The sequence below is a fragment of the Homo sapiens genome, chromosome 2 (assembly GCF_000001405.40).
Source record: "Homo sapiens chromosome 2, GRCh38.p14 Primary Assembly".
Taxonomy (NCBI): Eukaryota; Metazoa; Chordata; class Mammalia; order Primates; family Hominidae; genus Homo; species Homo sapiens.
Genome location: NC_000002.12, coordinates 190,968,770 through 190,983,405, shown reverse-complemented (window position 1 = coordinate 190,983,405; position 14,636 = coordinate 190,968,770). Strand labels below are relative to the sequence as shown.

At 41.0% G+C, this 14,636-nt stretch overlaps 1 protein-coding gene across 15 annotated transcripts in view; it reads left to right on the top strand.

The window, feature by feature from the left end:
• Positions 1–14,257, top strand: part of STAT1 (signal transducer and activator of transcription 1) — a 45,023-nt gene extending 30,766 nt beyond the window's left edge. For 11 of the 15 annotated variants that reach the window (NM_001437284.1, NM_001384890.1, NM_001384883.1 and 8 more), the window contains 8 exons: positions 888–1,023; positions 2,737–2,786; positions 3,540–3,634; positions 4,405–4,550; positions 6,381–6,566; positions 7,519–7,594; positions 8,474–8,576; positions 12,689–14,257. In NM_001437284.1, the coding sequence (NP_001424213.1) occupies positions 888–1,023; positions 2,737–2,786; positions 3,540–3,634; positions 4,405–4,550; positions 6,381–6,566; positions 7,519–7,594; positions 8,474–8,576; positions 12,689–12,703 (807 nt within the window). In that variant the 3' untranslated portion in view covers positions 12,704–14,257. Of the gene's footprint in view, positions 1–887; positions 1,024–2,736; positions 2,787–3,539; positions 3,635–4,404; positions 4,551–6,380; positions 6,567–7,494; positions 7,869–8,473; positions 8,577–12,688 lie in introns of those variants that run through there. The other 4 variants (NM_001384889.1, NM_001384886.1, NM_001384884.1 and 1 more) reach the window with 4 other exon arrangements.

Genomic DNA, 14,636 nt, shown 5'->3' with positions numbered 1-14,636 from the left:
ACTTTATTGTTATTATTTTTAAAATGTATACATCTACTAAACAAGCATGCTCCATTCTTAGAGTGTGGATACTCACTGTTAATTAATTACAGTCATTTATAATTATTCAAAGTACTTATGTTTTTTAAAGTCACCAGGAACACTTAACTAGCAAATAATGAATTGTTGCTCCTAAGGGAACTACGAGGCTAGGTTCCTTCAAGCCTCTGGTCACAACATTTTTGTCAACCCATCAATGCATAACATTGTTTATGTGTGTTTCTGTTTAAAGACACCTTATCTAATACACTTGTTGAGGCATTAACATTACACCTATAGCTAGGATCACTGTAACTCATGCCTGAGTGAAGCTTGCCTCACACATGTATTTTCTCCATAAGGCACATCCCAGCCTTCCCATGCTTAGGAACAGTAGACCACACTGTGGTACTATGCTCGGGCACCATTTTAAACAGGGATCACCAACAGCAGTCACAAAATGCAAAAAACATGGCGCTAAATAGGCTTCAAAAAGGACACGTTTTTCTTATGAGAGGTGAAACAGGAAGCGAGTGTCATTTTGTTTGGCTTCAGTTGGAAGCGTGTTAAGAGACTCGAATTCTTTGCTGCTGTGTGCTGCTGTGTGTGCACGGGTGTGTCTTCAAATGACCCCAAAGATGCCATGTATTTAGATTTTGGAGTTACAAGTAAATTTTAGTGAGTAAACAAGTTCACAAATGTGCATCTGTAAATAATGAAAATTGACTGTATTTCTCTTCCCCTACTGTGAAAGCACCTGTGTGTCATATAAACTAGAATTGAACTTTGGGATGGACATATGTTTTAGTGCCACACTTGTGACTGGTGTCTCTGTAGTAACCCTTAGATTTTGGGTGTTTTCTCTCTAGAATCTGTCCTTCTTCCTGACTCCACCATGTGCACGATGGGCTCAGCTTTCAGAAGTGCTGAGTTGGCAGTTTTCTTCTGTCACCAAAAGAGGTCTCAATGTGGACCAGCTGAACATGTTGGGAGAGAAGCTTCTTGGTATATGCATATTAACTTGTTATGTTTATAAAAATTGAAATTCATAAAAATATCTCTCTAATTGCTCTTTTCCCCTCTGCTATTTTGTTAAAGGTAAAAAAGTACTAAAATCTGTCAGCTTTTCAAGCTATAGTTTATTATAGCTAAGTGAGAATCATATGTCACCTTAGAAAGAAATATAGACCTGATAACATTTAAATGAATCCGTTCCTCATTGTCTCATATTAAGATTTCTGAGATGAATTCCCAAGGGAAAGTTTTATGAATTATGTAAAATATATTATTTGTGGCTGAAATAAGTTCCTGGATGAGAAAGATGAAGGCCTATTAACCATTAACCTTGGGGAGAAAAAAGGAAGTCCCTGACATGATGAGAAATAAAGTCCTGGGGCTTGCCCACTGCAGCATAAACCCAGGGCCCTTGCCTCAGGTGGGGCCCAGGTAGCAGAGGATGCCGTCCCCACAAGAGGATGCCTCTTTTGATCTGCAGTTTTGCCTGATTGGACAGAGTCTAGACAGTGGTAGATAATTCCCTTTCAGTGGTTAATGTCAGTGCATTTATTAGTCCTTCATACTAAACAAATCAAAGATCCACTAGTCTCAAGGTCAGATCTTTCAGTGAGTGAGGCTATCTGAACTATTTCTTTAAAAATCCGTGGACAACTTGTATCCAGATTTGCTTTCTGTAGAGCAGCACTGCATTTACTCCAAACAGCAGTAGGCTCTTCCTAACTCAGTGACTTTCAACAGTGCCTTCTTCTCTTGGATATGCAGCTGTCACAGTGGTGGTCTTGTGCTGTTTAATACAAGTACAAAATCCCCTTATTCCATTTCTTTATTTGGTGAGAGTTAAGAAGGATATCTTTTCTAGCTGTAATGGCTCATTTGTAGTTCTCTTTGAAGACCGATAATGGGCTTACCGCCTCTTCTCGCCCAGGCTGCTTTAATTTGTGTAGCTAATAACCCCGGGCTTCTTCCTCTCGTTTCTCTCACTTGGTTTTTGATTTGCATCAGACTGCCTGAGCCCATGTCCTATTTGGAGGAAAGCTGAGGGAAATGCATAAATAATGTCTAAAATAAACTTGTAAAGTCAAGTATCAGTTACATTGAAGATCTAGGGGTGATCTTGGGCACCTAGGTTGAACTTTGAAAAAAATTCTGTAGGATCCTTGGGAGAGGGGGCTCTGCTGAGCAGCAGAGGAAGGCAGTGGGAAGAGGCACTGGATAGGGAGGCTTCTCTAGGAGGCCCAGCAGAACACCTTTGATTTAGTGCAAAAGGCAAAGTCAGCTGATGGTCTTGGAAGGAAGTGTAACATGAAGAGGCATTAAAAGGACTGTCCTCTCTTTAGAGGAGGGAGGGAAAAGGGGGGCTGGGGAGGGAGAGAGCAGATGGTAAGGCTTTGTGATGTTTCCGCTTTCCCTAAAAACTCTCATATCGTGGTGCCCAGGAATCTGCCATCCATTCCTTTCTGCCATTAAACTCAAACCAACATATACATATTTTAGACCATTTAAATTCCGCCCTCTTACAGCACGTATTATAATTGCTCAGTTAATTTGGCATTAAGGTATCCGAAAATGTCAACTGTGTACATACAATCTTTGTTGGGTGTTTGGCTCTTTTCCTTGAGAGCAAATACAAGAGCCATCCGTCCAACCAAAGCTTTAGAATCAGTTTCTGTTTGCTGAAAAATCTGGTTTTTATTTGTTTAGGTCCTAACGCCAGCCCCGATGGTCTCATTCCGTGGACGAGGTTTTGTAAGGTGAGGACTGTCTGGGTTTTATGCTCTCTAAGTCCTTTTTGCTCTTGGTTGAGGTTCTCATGTTTCTTGCTGTGATAGTTACTTAACTGTTTGCTTATTTTGGCGTGTTCTTCTCTGGCCAAGGAGCCCCTCGGGCAAGTTGTTTACTTTTCTTCAGTGCAGGAGGTTGGTCTCCGAGCAGGAGTCTGACAGGAAGCACCTGCCTGAGTGATAACATTCTTTCATATCTGAAATGAGGCTTCTGTTCACTCACGCTGGACCCCTGCCCAGCAGTGTTTTAGCCATTTCTGTGTGAAATGTATGTTGTGGGCTGGGTGGCGCAGCCTGACCAGCCAGACGAGTTTAACGGCCTGCTCGAGCAGAGGGGCCCACTGCGGGGAACATTTAGATTCTGCTGGAGTCACCAGACAGTGCGGACCAGCTTGCACTGCTGGATTTTGCTAGTGTGGGGCAGCTTGTGTTTCCGTGAGTCACGCTGGAGGTCACCCCCAGGCTAGCTTGCTACTGTTTGGAAAGGGAAGCAGAGCCCGGCCCAGGGAAGTGGAGAGCTCTGGAGAGCTCCTGGTCTGAATGCTGATAAGAGCGGGGAGGGAACTTGATATTCCCTGCCAGGGGAGGGATCCCATTGCTGTGCTGAATGGGACAGTTCCATCCTTGGCACCTGGGGAGTCTTTGCAAATGATGGTGGGAGGGGCCATGGTAAGTCATTGTTTTAGATTTTTGTTCATAATGTCTGCATTTGTATACTTTCAGGAAAATATAAATGATAAAAATTTTCCCTTCTGGCTTTGGATTGAAAGCATCCTAGAACTCATTAAAAAACACCTGCTCCCTCTCTGGAATGATGGGTAAGGGCCACCGATAGATGTATTTTGAAACATATTTTTAGTGCTGCGAGGTTGAGACAAGGCCTGAGTCCAGCTTCAGTATTTGACTAGGCGTGTGTGAATCTCACAGGAGTGCGCATTTATAGGCTGCCCCTTCAGGGCTTCAGAAGAGTAGAACCTCATAACATTAACCTTACACTTTCTTAGTACAAGTATATGTATTGGCAAAGCTAAATTAAAAAAAAAAAACAACTCTTGAGTGCCATTCATGCATTCATTCACTCAACAAAAATTTTTTGAGCACCTACTATGTGGCCCCTAGGAAGGAAGAAAAACCCTTTTAACTGGGTAAATCATTTCTATCTTGACTTATTGCCAGGATCGGCTGATATTTCAACAGAAGCTTTAACTTGATCAGAAGGGCTAAAATATGAAAATATATTGCCTAGGTCTTCCTCTCCAGTAAAAAAGATGTATACATTCAGACATTGTTATGGCCTTTAAAATAATAAAGGAACAATAAAAGGCTCATTAATCCCACACGTGTTATTGAGCATCTGTAGCATCCTACTGACACCATGTTCATATCGCTTTTTTTAAAACCTTAGTATATACATGTATAAGTGAAATGCTTCCTTAAGTGTCAACTGAACAGATTTTAAAATAGTCTACGTTTTTTACCGTAGGTTTTTTTTCTCACATTCCAGCCATTTTCTTGGTTTGTAAGTTAGCATGAAAATGGAAATCATGATTGAACTAAAAGCCCATCCGTCCATCTCTTCGATATCCAGGTGCATCATGGGCTTCATCAGCAAGGAGCGAGAGCGTGCCCTGTTGAAGGACCAGCAGCCGGGGACCTTCCTGCTGCGGTTCAGTGAGAGCTCCCGGGAAGGGGCCATCACATTCACATGGGTGGAGCGGTCCCAGAACGGAGGCGGTGAGTGGGAGTTTGAGCACATAGTCCCACCATTCCATGTGTGTGAAGTCCCTCTTCATCGCCGCCAGTCAGCTCATACAGATAGTGCGTTTGGGACATGAAATTGCAGATCTTATACTTACCCCAAATGAGCCCCCGATAGGATTTAATAAACCACCACAAATGTTTGTGGTTGTGGTTCACTCTCTGGAACATATTGTGGAAATGATGGTTTTGAAAAGACAATGCCAATTCTTTCCTTTGCATCAGGTTTGTTATCTGCAGATCAAGGATGTGAGTCAATGTAATCTGCAACCCGTTCTTGGAAGGAATCACATTTCCCACAGGAGTAAGCATCCACATTCTCTTAGGGTCATCCCAGAGTAGAGTGTGCAGATGAGACAGGCTTCGGGAGAAGACTTCATACACATCATCAGCCAGGGAGTTGATGCAGGACCTGTTGGGACGAGTGGCAGCCTCTACCCTGCCTTCAAACAGAGCAGCTGCAAATTTATCTTTATCATATATGGGGTTTCTATTTAATCAAATGAGTCCATGGCTAAAAGACTCCAGAAACCTTGGTGTTATGAAGCAGGTTTCTGAGGGTGAAGCTCAACAGCGTAAATGAAAAAATCATAAAGACCAACTGATTACTTTTCACTGTTGTTTAGAGTTTGGTCTGTTTGAAGGGCAGGAGGAAAAACTGATTTGTTTTAGTAATTTTTATACTTTCAGTGGGTAGACACAAAATGGAATACTCTTCTTGTTCTATTTATTTTTCTGAAATATTCCTCTTCTCCTGTTTTTCTGGAATACTCTTATTCTATTTGTTTTTCTGCCATACTCTTCTTGTTCTGTTTGTTTTTCTGGAATACTCTTCTATTTTTTTTTTCTGGAACGGTATTCTTTCTTGTTCTGTTTATTTTTCAGGAATACTCTTCTTGTTCTATTTGTTTTTCTGGAATACTTTTCTTGTTCTATTTTTCTTCTGAGGAAAAAGCAGGGAGGCTGAGATGAGAGTCTGGCGTGGGCAGTAGTCATTAGAACCTGCCCTTTTCCTCTTATCCTGTTCCCTTCCTGAACCAGCTGAGAGACAGATATAGTAGACCAAGCAGAGATGAAGAAAACCCTTGGCAACCAGGAAAGGTCAAGCAGGACACTACCAGCCAGGAAGGGTTAGGATGGCAGCATAGTCTCATGTTCCACAGCAGGCTCCCCAGAACACCTGAACCGTGGCCTCTGGAAGGTCGACACCCAAAGGGAGATTCTGTATCAGCTAGGAAGAAGGATCTGAATTCAGTCTGGGAATAAGAACGGGAGTAAATTAAACCATGGTTTATTACGTTAAGGGTTACAGGGAAATGTAGCAAATAGGATCATTTTTAATTTGAAATGTTGTTTTCTATATATCATAATTTATTTTAATAAAAAATTAGATTTTTCAATATGAAAAGAAAAACAAAGTGAGTTTATCTCTAGTAATTTAAATCTGTGGCTTAAGCCAAGATGATCCACTTAGTAGTAAGTTATTTATGTGCCTATGGGCAGCACATCATTGAAGATGCAGGCTTTTAAAGGTTTTTAATAAATCTTTTTTGCCCAGATTTATAAATCTAAGCAAATAATGGCAAATAGAATGTTATTGAGAATAATACCTCCCTTTATTTTCCCTGAGACAGTATTATAATTTATTTAGAAATAAAGCAGTCTACTGTATATGTTATAATGCTTAGATTGTGATTAGTTCTTATGAGGTTCACTCAAATCCATCAACTCTGCAGTGTTTTATTTCTCTGTCCTCTTTCATTTTGGGATGTTCTATGGGATTTACTTAGCTTTTCTCCTTTTTAGAACCTGACTTCCATGCGGTTGAACCCTACACGAAGAAAGAACTTTCTGCTGTTACTTTCCCTGACATCATTCGCAATTACAAAGTCATGGCTGCTGAGAATATTCCTGAGAATCCCCTGAAGTATCTGTATCCAAATATTGACAAAGACCATGCCTTTGGAAAGTATTACTCCAGGCCAAAGGAAGGTAAGTGGGGCAAGCAGGTGGTAACAGCGTGGCACAGTCTTTCCTGATGAGGGGGTGATTATTCTGAAACTCCACCCATGCAGTGTTTTGCTTTCGAATTGGTAAGAGTAGGCTTTCAAAAGATGGCATAAACTCAGTGCAGGTGAAACATAATGCATTATTTGGCCTGATACAGCTAGTAAGAAATGAATGGACAATTTCCTATTTTAGGAATGTTGGAAAAGTCCATTGCTGGTCTTGTGTATTTGTTACTATCACTGTTTCCACATGAAAAGGGTTTAAATAAGGAACTGTGGTAAACCAACAGAAGGCATCTTGCTCACGTTAAAGTTGAGGAAACTGAGGCCTGGGAGAAGTGAAGTGGTTCATTTAGGGTGGCCCAATTACTTACTAGATCCTATTTTTATTAGATAATTATTAAGAGGAGGCCTCATCTGAGAACACAGGTCTCTTGCTTCTCAGTTGTCAATGAATTGCATTTGAGAAGGTTCGAATTAGACCTGTTTTGTTTGGAACACACCAACAAAGCTGTTTTTCAGAATCAGAAATCTCAATATTAGGACAATTACTTTGGAATGAAGATGTCCCCAGCTTACCTTGACAGCTGTGAATATTCATTAGCCAGGCTAATGCCAATAAACTGGATAGAACTTTGCATATTTTGGGCTCAGACTTCTTGTAAGATTTCAAGTTGTGTAAAGAGAAAGCTCCTAGCTAGTGTCCTGCTGAACACTAGCTTATTTCCAGACTGAATTCAGATCCTTCTTCTCGTTGTTTCTGCATTCCCACTAGAATTTTAGGTGACTCAGGCAGGGAGGTTATAGCTCCTTAAAGTTTTAGGAGGCTAAGCTGTCTAGAAACACAGTAGAACTTTAATCCCCCCGAAAAGTTGATGTTGTATTCTGATGGAATTTCGGTTGATGGAAAGCGTACACAATGTGTTTATTTCTAGCACCAGAGCCAATGGAACTTGATGGCCCTAAAGGAACTGGATATATCAAGACTGAGTTGATTTCTGTGTCTGAAGTGTAAGTGAACACAGAAGAGTGACATGTTTACAAACCTCAAGCCAGCCTTGCTCCTGGCTGGGGCCTGTTGAAGATGCTTGTATTTTACTTTTCCATTGTAATTGCTATCGCCATCACAGCTGAACTTGTTGAGATCCCCGTGTTACTGCCTATCAGCATTTTACTACTTTAAAAAAAAAAAAAAAGCCAAAAACCAAATTTGTATTTAAGGTATATAAATTTTCCCAAAACTGATACCCTTTGAAAAAGTATAAATAAAATGAGCAAAAGTTGATCAGAGTGGGAAAGTAGTTCTTTTCAATCTAGAAAAGGCCAAAGTAATGATTGAGATACACTGTCTCCACTTGCTTTGATTTTGTTGTTTCATTTTATAAAAGGTAGAAAAAATTTTGGAAATGTCATTGTCAGTTATTTGGCCTGCAGCACTGTCTTGGGGTGAATGGATGTAGCCTTCATGTAAAAACACTGTGTGGAGCAGCTTTATCTGCATTCAAACCTCAAGGTAGGGATGAGGGACTCCCCAGACATTTCTCTGGTGCTTTTCTGTCCAGGGTAAGCCACGAGGCATTGTCATCTCAGGGTAGTGCACCGCACATGCTCACACCTAGGCTTACCCAGGCAGAAGCGGCACAGATTCCAGTCTGGCTATTGCTTATCACATCCCTGGAGTGTGAAACATTTCCCAAGGGGCTGGGCTGGGGACATGAGCCTCCCATGAGCTGTACTTTTGCAAATGTATTTTACAAGTGTATGCACTTACCCAAAATAAAAATATAACGTGATAATTCAATTACAGACAAAAGATAAAGTGTGTAAGTATGCACTAGTGCTTTCATCACTCAGATGTTGACATTGCTCTTTTCTTTTTCCCCATTTTAGTCACCCTTCTAGACTTCAGACCACAGACAACCTGCTCCCCATGTCTCCTGAGGAGTTTGACGAGGTGTCTCGGATAGTGGGCTCTGTAGAATTCGACAGTATGGTGAGTACCACGGCTGGCCTGTGTGTAGCTCTCAATAAGTGTGTGTGCTCAGAGGCAGGGAGCGCACCATGGCAGATCCCGGGCCTGTCTGCGGGAGGGAGCCCTGGCGGAGCCAAGGAGAGTGCAGTGCTCAGATGAGCCATGACAAGTTGGAGCTGCTGGATTTAAACCACCTACATCATCAGTGGGATTTTTATTCCTCGCATTCAGCACCTTCCAAAAAACAAGTGACATTTCTAATATTCAGGTTTCCTCCTCTCCCCTTTAAAGTTGTCCATGTAGAAATTTCATATATTAAGGAACTAAGATTTCTTTGATAAGCAAATGTTTTTCTTCGGAATGCGATTTCATCACTGTGTCTAGGGGAGGGAGTGTTATTTTTAGAAAGGGAGGGACTAACGCTTGGTAGTTACAGTAATTAGAGAGAATTATACTTTAGCAGCAATGAGATTACTTCATCTGCCTTATATTTGAGAGCTAATTTGTACAAGTAGCTCCTGGGGCTGTGAAGGGCTTGCCAAGAGTAAAAGGTTCAAGGAGTGAAATAGTTAATGAGATTCGTGATAGAAATGGGAATATGATTGTCCACAAAAGGGAACATCTTCCTTTTGGAGGGTGCTTTTTTAGTATATCAACTAGTATTGTTTGCCTTTCAGCCTAAAATCCTTCCTCTTAAAGATTGTGCTTGCTTGGCTGGATTTTTGCTGATGCTGTTTAATTTTAAGCTCTTTTCCACATGGAGCTATTCCAGCTCATTTTTAAAAATTTATTTAATGCTTCCAAAAAATATCCTGAGTTATTACTGGCCTTTCTTCCTTACTGTATACCCGGTGCCTGGCAAAAAGTAGGTGCTCAACAAAGAGAGGAAGGCAGGGAGGGGAAAGGTGAGCGAGAATGAGAGGGCGTCACTCTTCAGACATTTGGGGAATGCGATGATAAGGCCTCAGTAAGATCTGCCTGGATTCAGGTTTCTCATGTGTAATTTTTTGACTTTTTTCCTCACCTTAAGCACGGGCTACAATCATTAGAGATTGTACCTTCCTACACTTTCCTGATTGTTGTTGACGAAATAGGCCATTTAGAAAAACAGTTAGCTATTGTGGCAGCGAAATAGTTTCATTCCTATTGGCAAGTGTAAAATGAACCTTTTCTGCATGTAAGAAGGATCCTGCTAGAGTTTCGCTCCCAACACTGCTATAGGCCTGGCACAAAAATGGAATAAATATAAAGCCCTATTCAGAAAATATGTTACATCACAGGAACTGTAAAATGGGGGGATTTTTTATACCTCCTTTGTTGTTCCTGAGCAAATTACATCATCATCACCACCACCATTAATAGGTGACATTAAGCACCTACAGTATACCATGTACTTCACAGGTAGTAACTCATTCAGTCCTCACAGCCACCTTCTGAGTTAGGTGTTATTGTTATTCCTACTTTGACAGATGTGGGAACAGAGCCCCTCCTCCCCACACAGCCCCTTTTATGTAACTTGACTAAGATCAAGCAGTTAGTAAATGGTAGAAAGAATATTTGAATCTACCTAGTGAGTCTCTAGTGCATGCTTTTGTCCGGTATCCTGGAAAGCCTCCCACAAAAAGCTAATCTTTGCCCCATTCAAAACATGCACCCTGAAGAAGCTGTTTGTACAGGATTGGGTTTATTCTGTTATTAAGACAAAGGCATCATGGCCTTTGGGTGAGAGGCCCGTATGTGTTTGGGATTTGGCAATCAGCATTCCATCTCTGTCATCACCATTATTGAGAAAATAGATGGATTGGTTCCCTCTCTGCAGTCCTGTGGAGCAGTTGGACTGCTCTCTCTGCTCTCAGGATGATACTGTGAGAACAATTTAAATATGCTAAGCACATGTCAGGAAACAGTTTTGTGGTCTTTGGACACTCGCTGTAGCCATTCCGTTCCATTTCAGGTGATTTTATTCATTTCATTTGTAGAATAAAATAAATCCATTTCACACACACACACACACACACACACACACACACACACCCTCTATACACCACTAAAGCCTCCCATTAAACCCATAGAAGACTTAAAGAGCTAAAAGAGGCTATAATATAAAAAAAAAAAAAGAAAAGAAAAGAAAAAGAGTTCATAATATAGGCACGGCACTGGTTAGACAACGGTTGAATCAGTCTCTAAATTGGGTTGACTTCACAATGGTTTGCTGTCCTGCCCCTTGGCCATGACTTCCATCCAGCATCTACTCTTAGAATCAGAGTGTATACTCTGAAACAGAAGCAGCTCTCCCCAAGCTGGCTGTCTTCTGCCAAGTCTGGAGGTTGCAGCTCTGAAAGAGGGTGGTACCAGGGGCCAACGCCTGGTGCAGCCTCAGGAGCAACAGGACCATAGGCTCCTGAGGAAATTGTCCAAGAGAGCCAGAGCACCAGTGTTCTCTGCAGTATGACTTGGGCATTTGTTTAGTCTGGATTTCCTGTGTAATCAGTGTTTTCCTCTGGGACTGTAATAGAACCAGTCTACTCTCCAAGAGGCCTTTAGCCAAAGCTCATAATGATAGGACTAGCTATTAATTGTCTACTACTTTCTGTCTACTATACTAAACATTTTACGTATGCCATCTAATTTAACAAGCCTATCTGCTAGGTACTATTAATCCCCTTTTGATAGATGAAGACTTTGAGATTTAGAGAGGTTAAGCCACTTGCCCTGGTCACGCAGTGACAGGATCTGAATCTGGGCTTCCTCTCTTCCTCTATCTATCTATCTCCCCCTCCCTCCCTCTCTTTACCCCCACGGTCCACCCTATTAAGCACACATTTGAAACATCAGCCAGGCCGGGCGCGGTGGCTCACGCCTGTAATCTCAACATTTTGGGAGGCCGGGGCAGGTGGATCACCTGCGATCAGGAGTTTGAGACCAGCCTGGCCAACACGGTGAAACCCCATCTCTACTAAAAATACAAAAATTAGCCAGCCATGGTGGTGTGTGCCTGTAATCCCAGCTACTAGGGGGGCTGAGGCAGGAGGATCGCTTGAACCTGGAAGGTGGAGGTTGCAGTGAGCCAAGATGGTGCCACTGCACTCCAGTCTGGGCAACAGAGGAAGACTCCGTCTCCAATTTGAAAAAAAAAAAGAAAGAAAAAGAAAAGAGAAACATAAGCTAGACTGAAACATAGGGGCAACACTTTCACTGTGCTTTTCAATCCAAAATAATTTTCCTAAGAGCCCACTATGTACCACACACTATTGAGCACTTGGGATTAAAAAAAAGTTCTCCAGAGGCTTTCCAGTCTAGTGCCATGTGTCTCAGTCTTGGTGCTACTGGTATTCGGGGCTTCAGAATTATTTGTTGGGGATTGGTGGGGTGGGGAGCTTTCCTGTGCTTCGTAGGAGGTTCAGCAACACCTCTGGCTTCTACCAAATAGATACCAGTAAGCACATGCACCCTCACAGCCAGATGGGACAATCAGCAATGTCTTCAGCCATTGCCAGGGGACAGAATCATCCTCGATTGAAAGCATCTGGTCTAAGGGGAAAGACCAGTGTGGAAGTCAGACAGGAAGTCACTGGCAGGCTAGTATCCTTTGGATGAACAGTTTACTTACTATAAGTTGTCCTGGTCAAGGCAGCTGGGCAGAAGGCACTGGTGGGGAAGGTGAAGGGGTTCTTAGTAATTCTGCTTCTTTAGTCTGTACCTGAAACACAGTCATTGATTTTACCCACTGAGTGGCCTTTAGGGGAAGTGTATCATTTCCCTCTCCTTCCTCTCTCCCTCTGGCATATGGCTCAGCATTTCCTCACCCGTTTCACATGAGCAGATTTGACACGTTGCTCTGTCCCCAGACTTGCATAACAGCAAAAAGCTTTATGCAGTCTGGATGGATTCACAAAATTAAGCCAGTGGGCAGCAGAGTAATAATCCGTCAGCTTAGGTGATATAAAAGGTCTTGATTAGCCCAGGATAATACATAGTACATGCTGAAGGCCCTCTTATTCCACGGTATTTATTTGCCATTGCAAGTATCTTCCTACTACTTCATTCTAGAATAGACAAGCAATGTTTAATGTATGAGTCTGCATTTCACAAGATCAGTGTAATAAACTTAACCACATTTTGTCTTTTTACAGATGAACACAGTATAGAGCATGAATTTTTTTCATCTTCTCTGGCGACAGTTTTCCTTCTCATCTGTGATTCCCTCCTGCTACTCTGTTCCTTCACATCCTGTGTTTCTAGGGAAATGAAAGAAAGGCCAGCAAATTCGCTGCAACCTGTTGATAGCAAGTGAATTTTTCTCTAACTCAGAAACATCAGTTACTCTGAAGGGCATCATGCATCTTACTGAAGGTAAAATTGAAAGGCATTCTCTGAAGAGTGGGTTTCACAAGTGAAAAACATCCAGATACACCCAAAGTATCAGGACGAGAATGAGGGTCCTTTGGGAAAGGAGAAGTTAAGCAACATCTAGCAAATGTTATGCATAAAGTCAGTGCCCAACTGTTATAGGTTGTTGGATAAATCAGTGGTTATTTAGGGAACTGCTTGACGTAGGAACGGTAAATTTCTGTGGGAGAATTCTTACATGTTTTCTTTGCTTTAAGTGTAACTGGCAGTTTTCCATTGGTTTACCTGTGAAATAGTTCAAAGCCAAGTTTATATACAATTATATCAGTCCTCTTTCAAAGGTAGCCATCATGGATCTGGTAGGGGGAAAATGTGTATTTTATTACATCTTTCACATTGGCTATTTAAAGACAAAGACAAATTCTGTTTCTTGAGAAGAGAATATTAGCTTTACTGTTTGTTATGGCTTAATGACACTAGCTAATATCAATAGAAGGATGTACATTTCCAAATTCACAAGTTGTGTTTGATATCCAAAGCTGAATACATTCTGCTTTCATCTTGGTCACATACAATTATTTTTACAGTTCTCCCAAGGGAGTTAGGCTATTCACAACCACTCATTCAAAAGTTGAAATTAACCATAGATGTAGATAAACTCAGAAATTTAATTCATGTTTCTTAAATGGGCTACTTTGTCCTTTTTGTTATTAGGGTGGTATTTAGTCTATTAGCCACAAAATTGGGAAAGGAGTAGAAAAAGCAGTAACTGACAACTTGAATAATACACCAGAGATAATATGAGAATCAGATCATTTCAAAACTCATTTCCTATGTAACTGCATTGAGAACTGCATATGTTTCGCTGATATATGTGTTTTTCACATTTGCGAATGGTTCCATTCTCTCTCCTGTACTTTTTCCAGACACTTTTTTGAGTGGATGATGTTTCGTGAAGTATACTGTATTTTTACCTTTTTCCTTCCTTATCACTGACACAAAAAGTAGATTAAGAGATGGGTTTGACAAGGTTCTTCCCTTTTACATACTGCTGTCTATGTGGCTGTATCTTGTTTTTCCACTACTGCTACCACAACTATATTATCATGCAAATGCTGTATTCTTCTTTGGTGGAGATAAAGATTTCTTGAGTTTTGTTTTAAAATTAAAGCTAAAGTATCTGTATTGCATTAAATATAATATGCACACAGTGCTTTCCGTGGCACTGCATACAATCTGAGGCCTCCTCTCTCAGTTTTTATATAGATGGCGAGAACCTAAGTTTCAGTTGATTTTACAATTGAAATGACTAAAAAACAAAGAAGACAACATTAAAACAATATTGTTTCTAATTGCTGAGGTTTAGCTGTCAGTTCTTTTTGCCCTTTGGGAATTCGGCATGGTTTCATTTTACTGCACTAGCCAAGAGACTTTACTTTTAAGAAGTATTAAAATTCTAAAATTCTATTAATCTCTCATTAATAGTATTTAATATAAAGATTCTTAAAATTACTGACGTTATGAATTGGTTTGATGCTTTTCTCATGTACCTCAATCCTTATTTTAAAATAAGATCAATAACACTATTTTCCTAAATGTTGTCCTTACCTGCCCTACACATATTCAGAATTGCTATGGCAGATTAAGACATGTCAATGGAAGAGGTCAGAGGAGTAATATTATTGGCAACAGCTGTAATAGGTGCCATAAAAAGCAAACAAACAAAAGTAT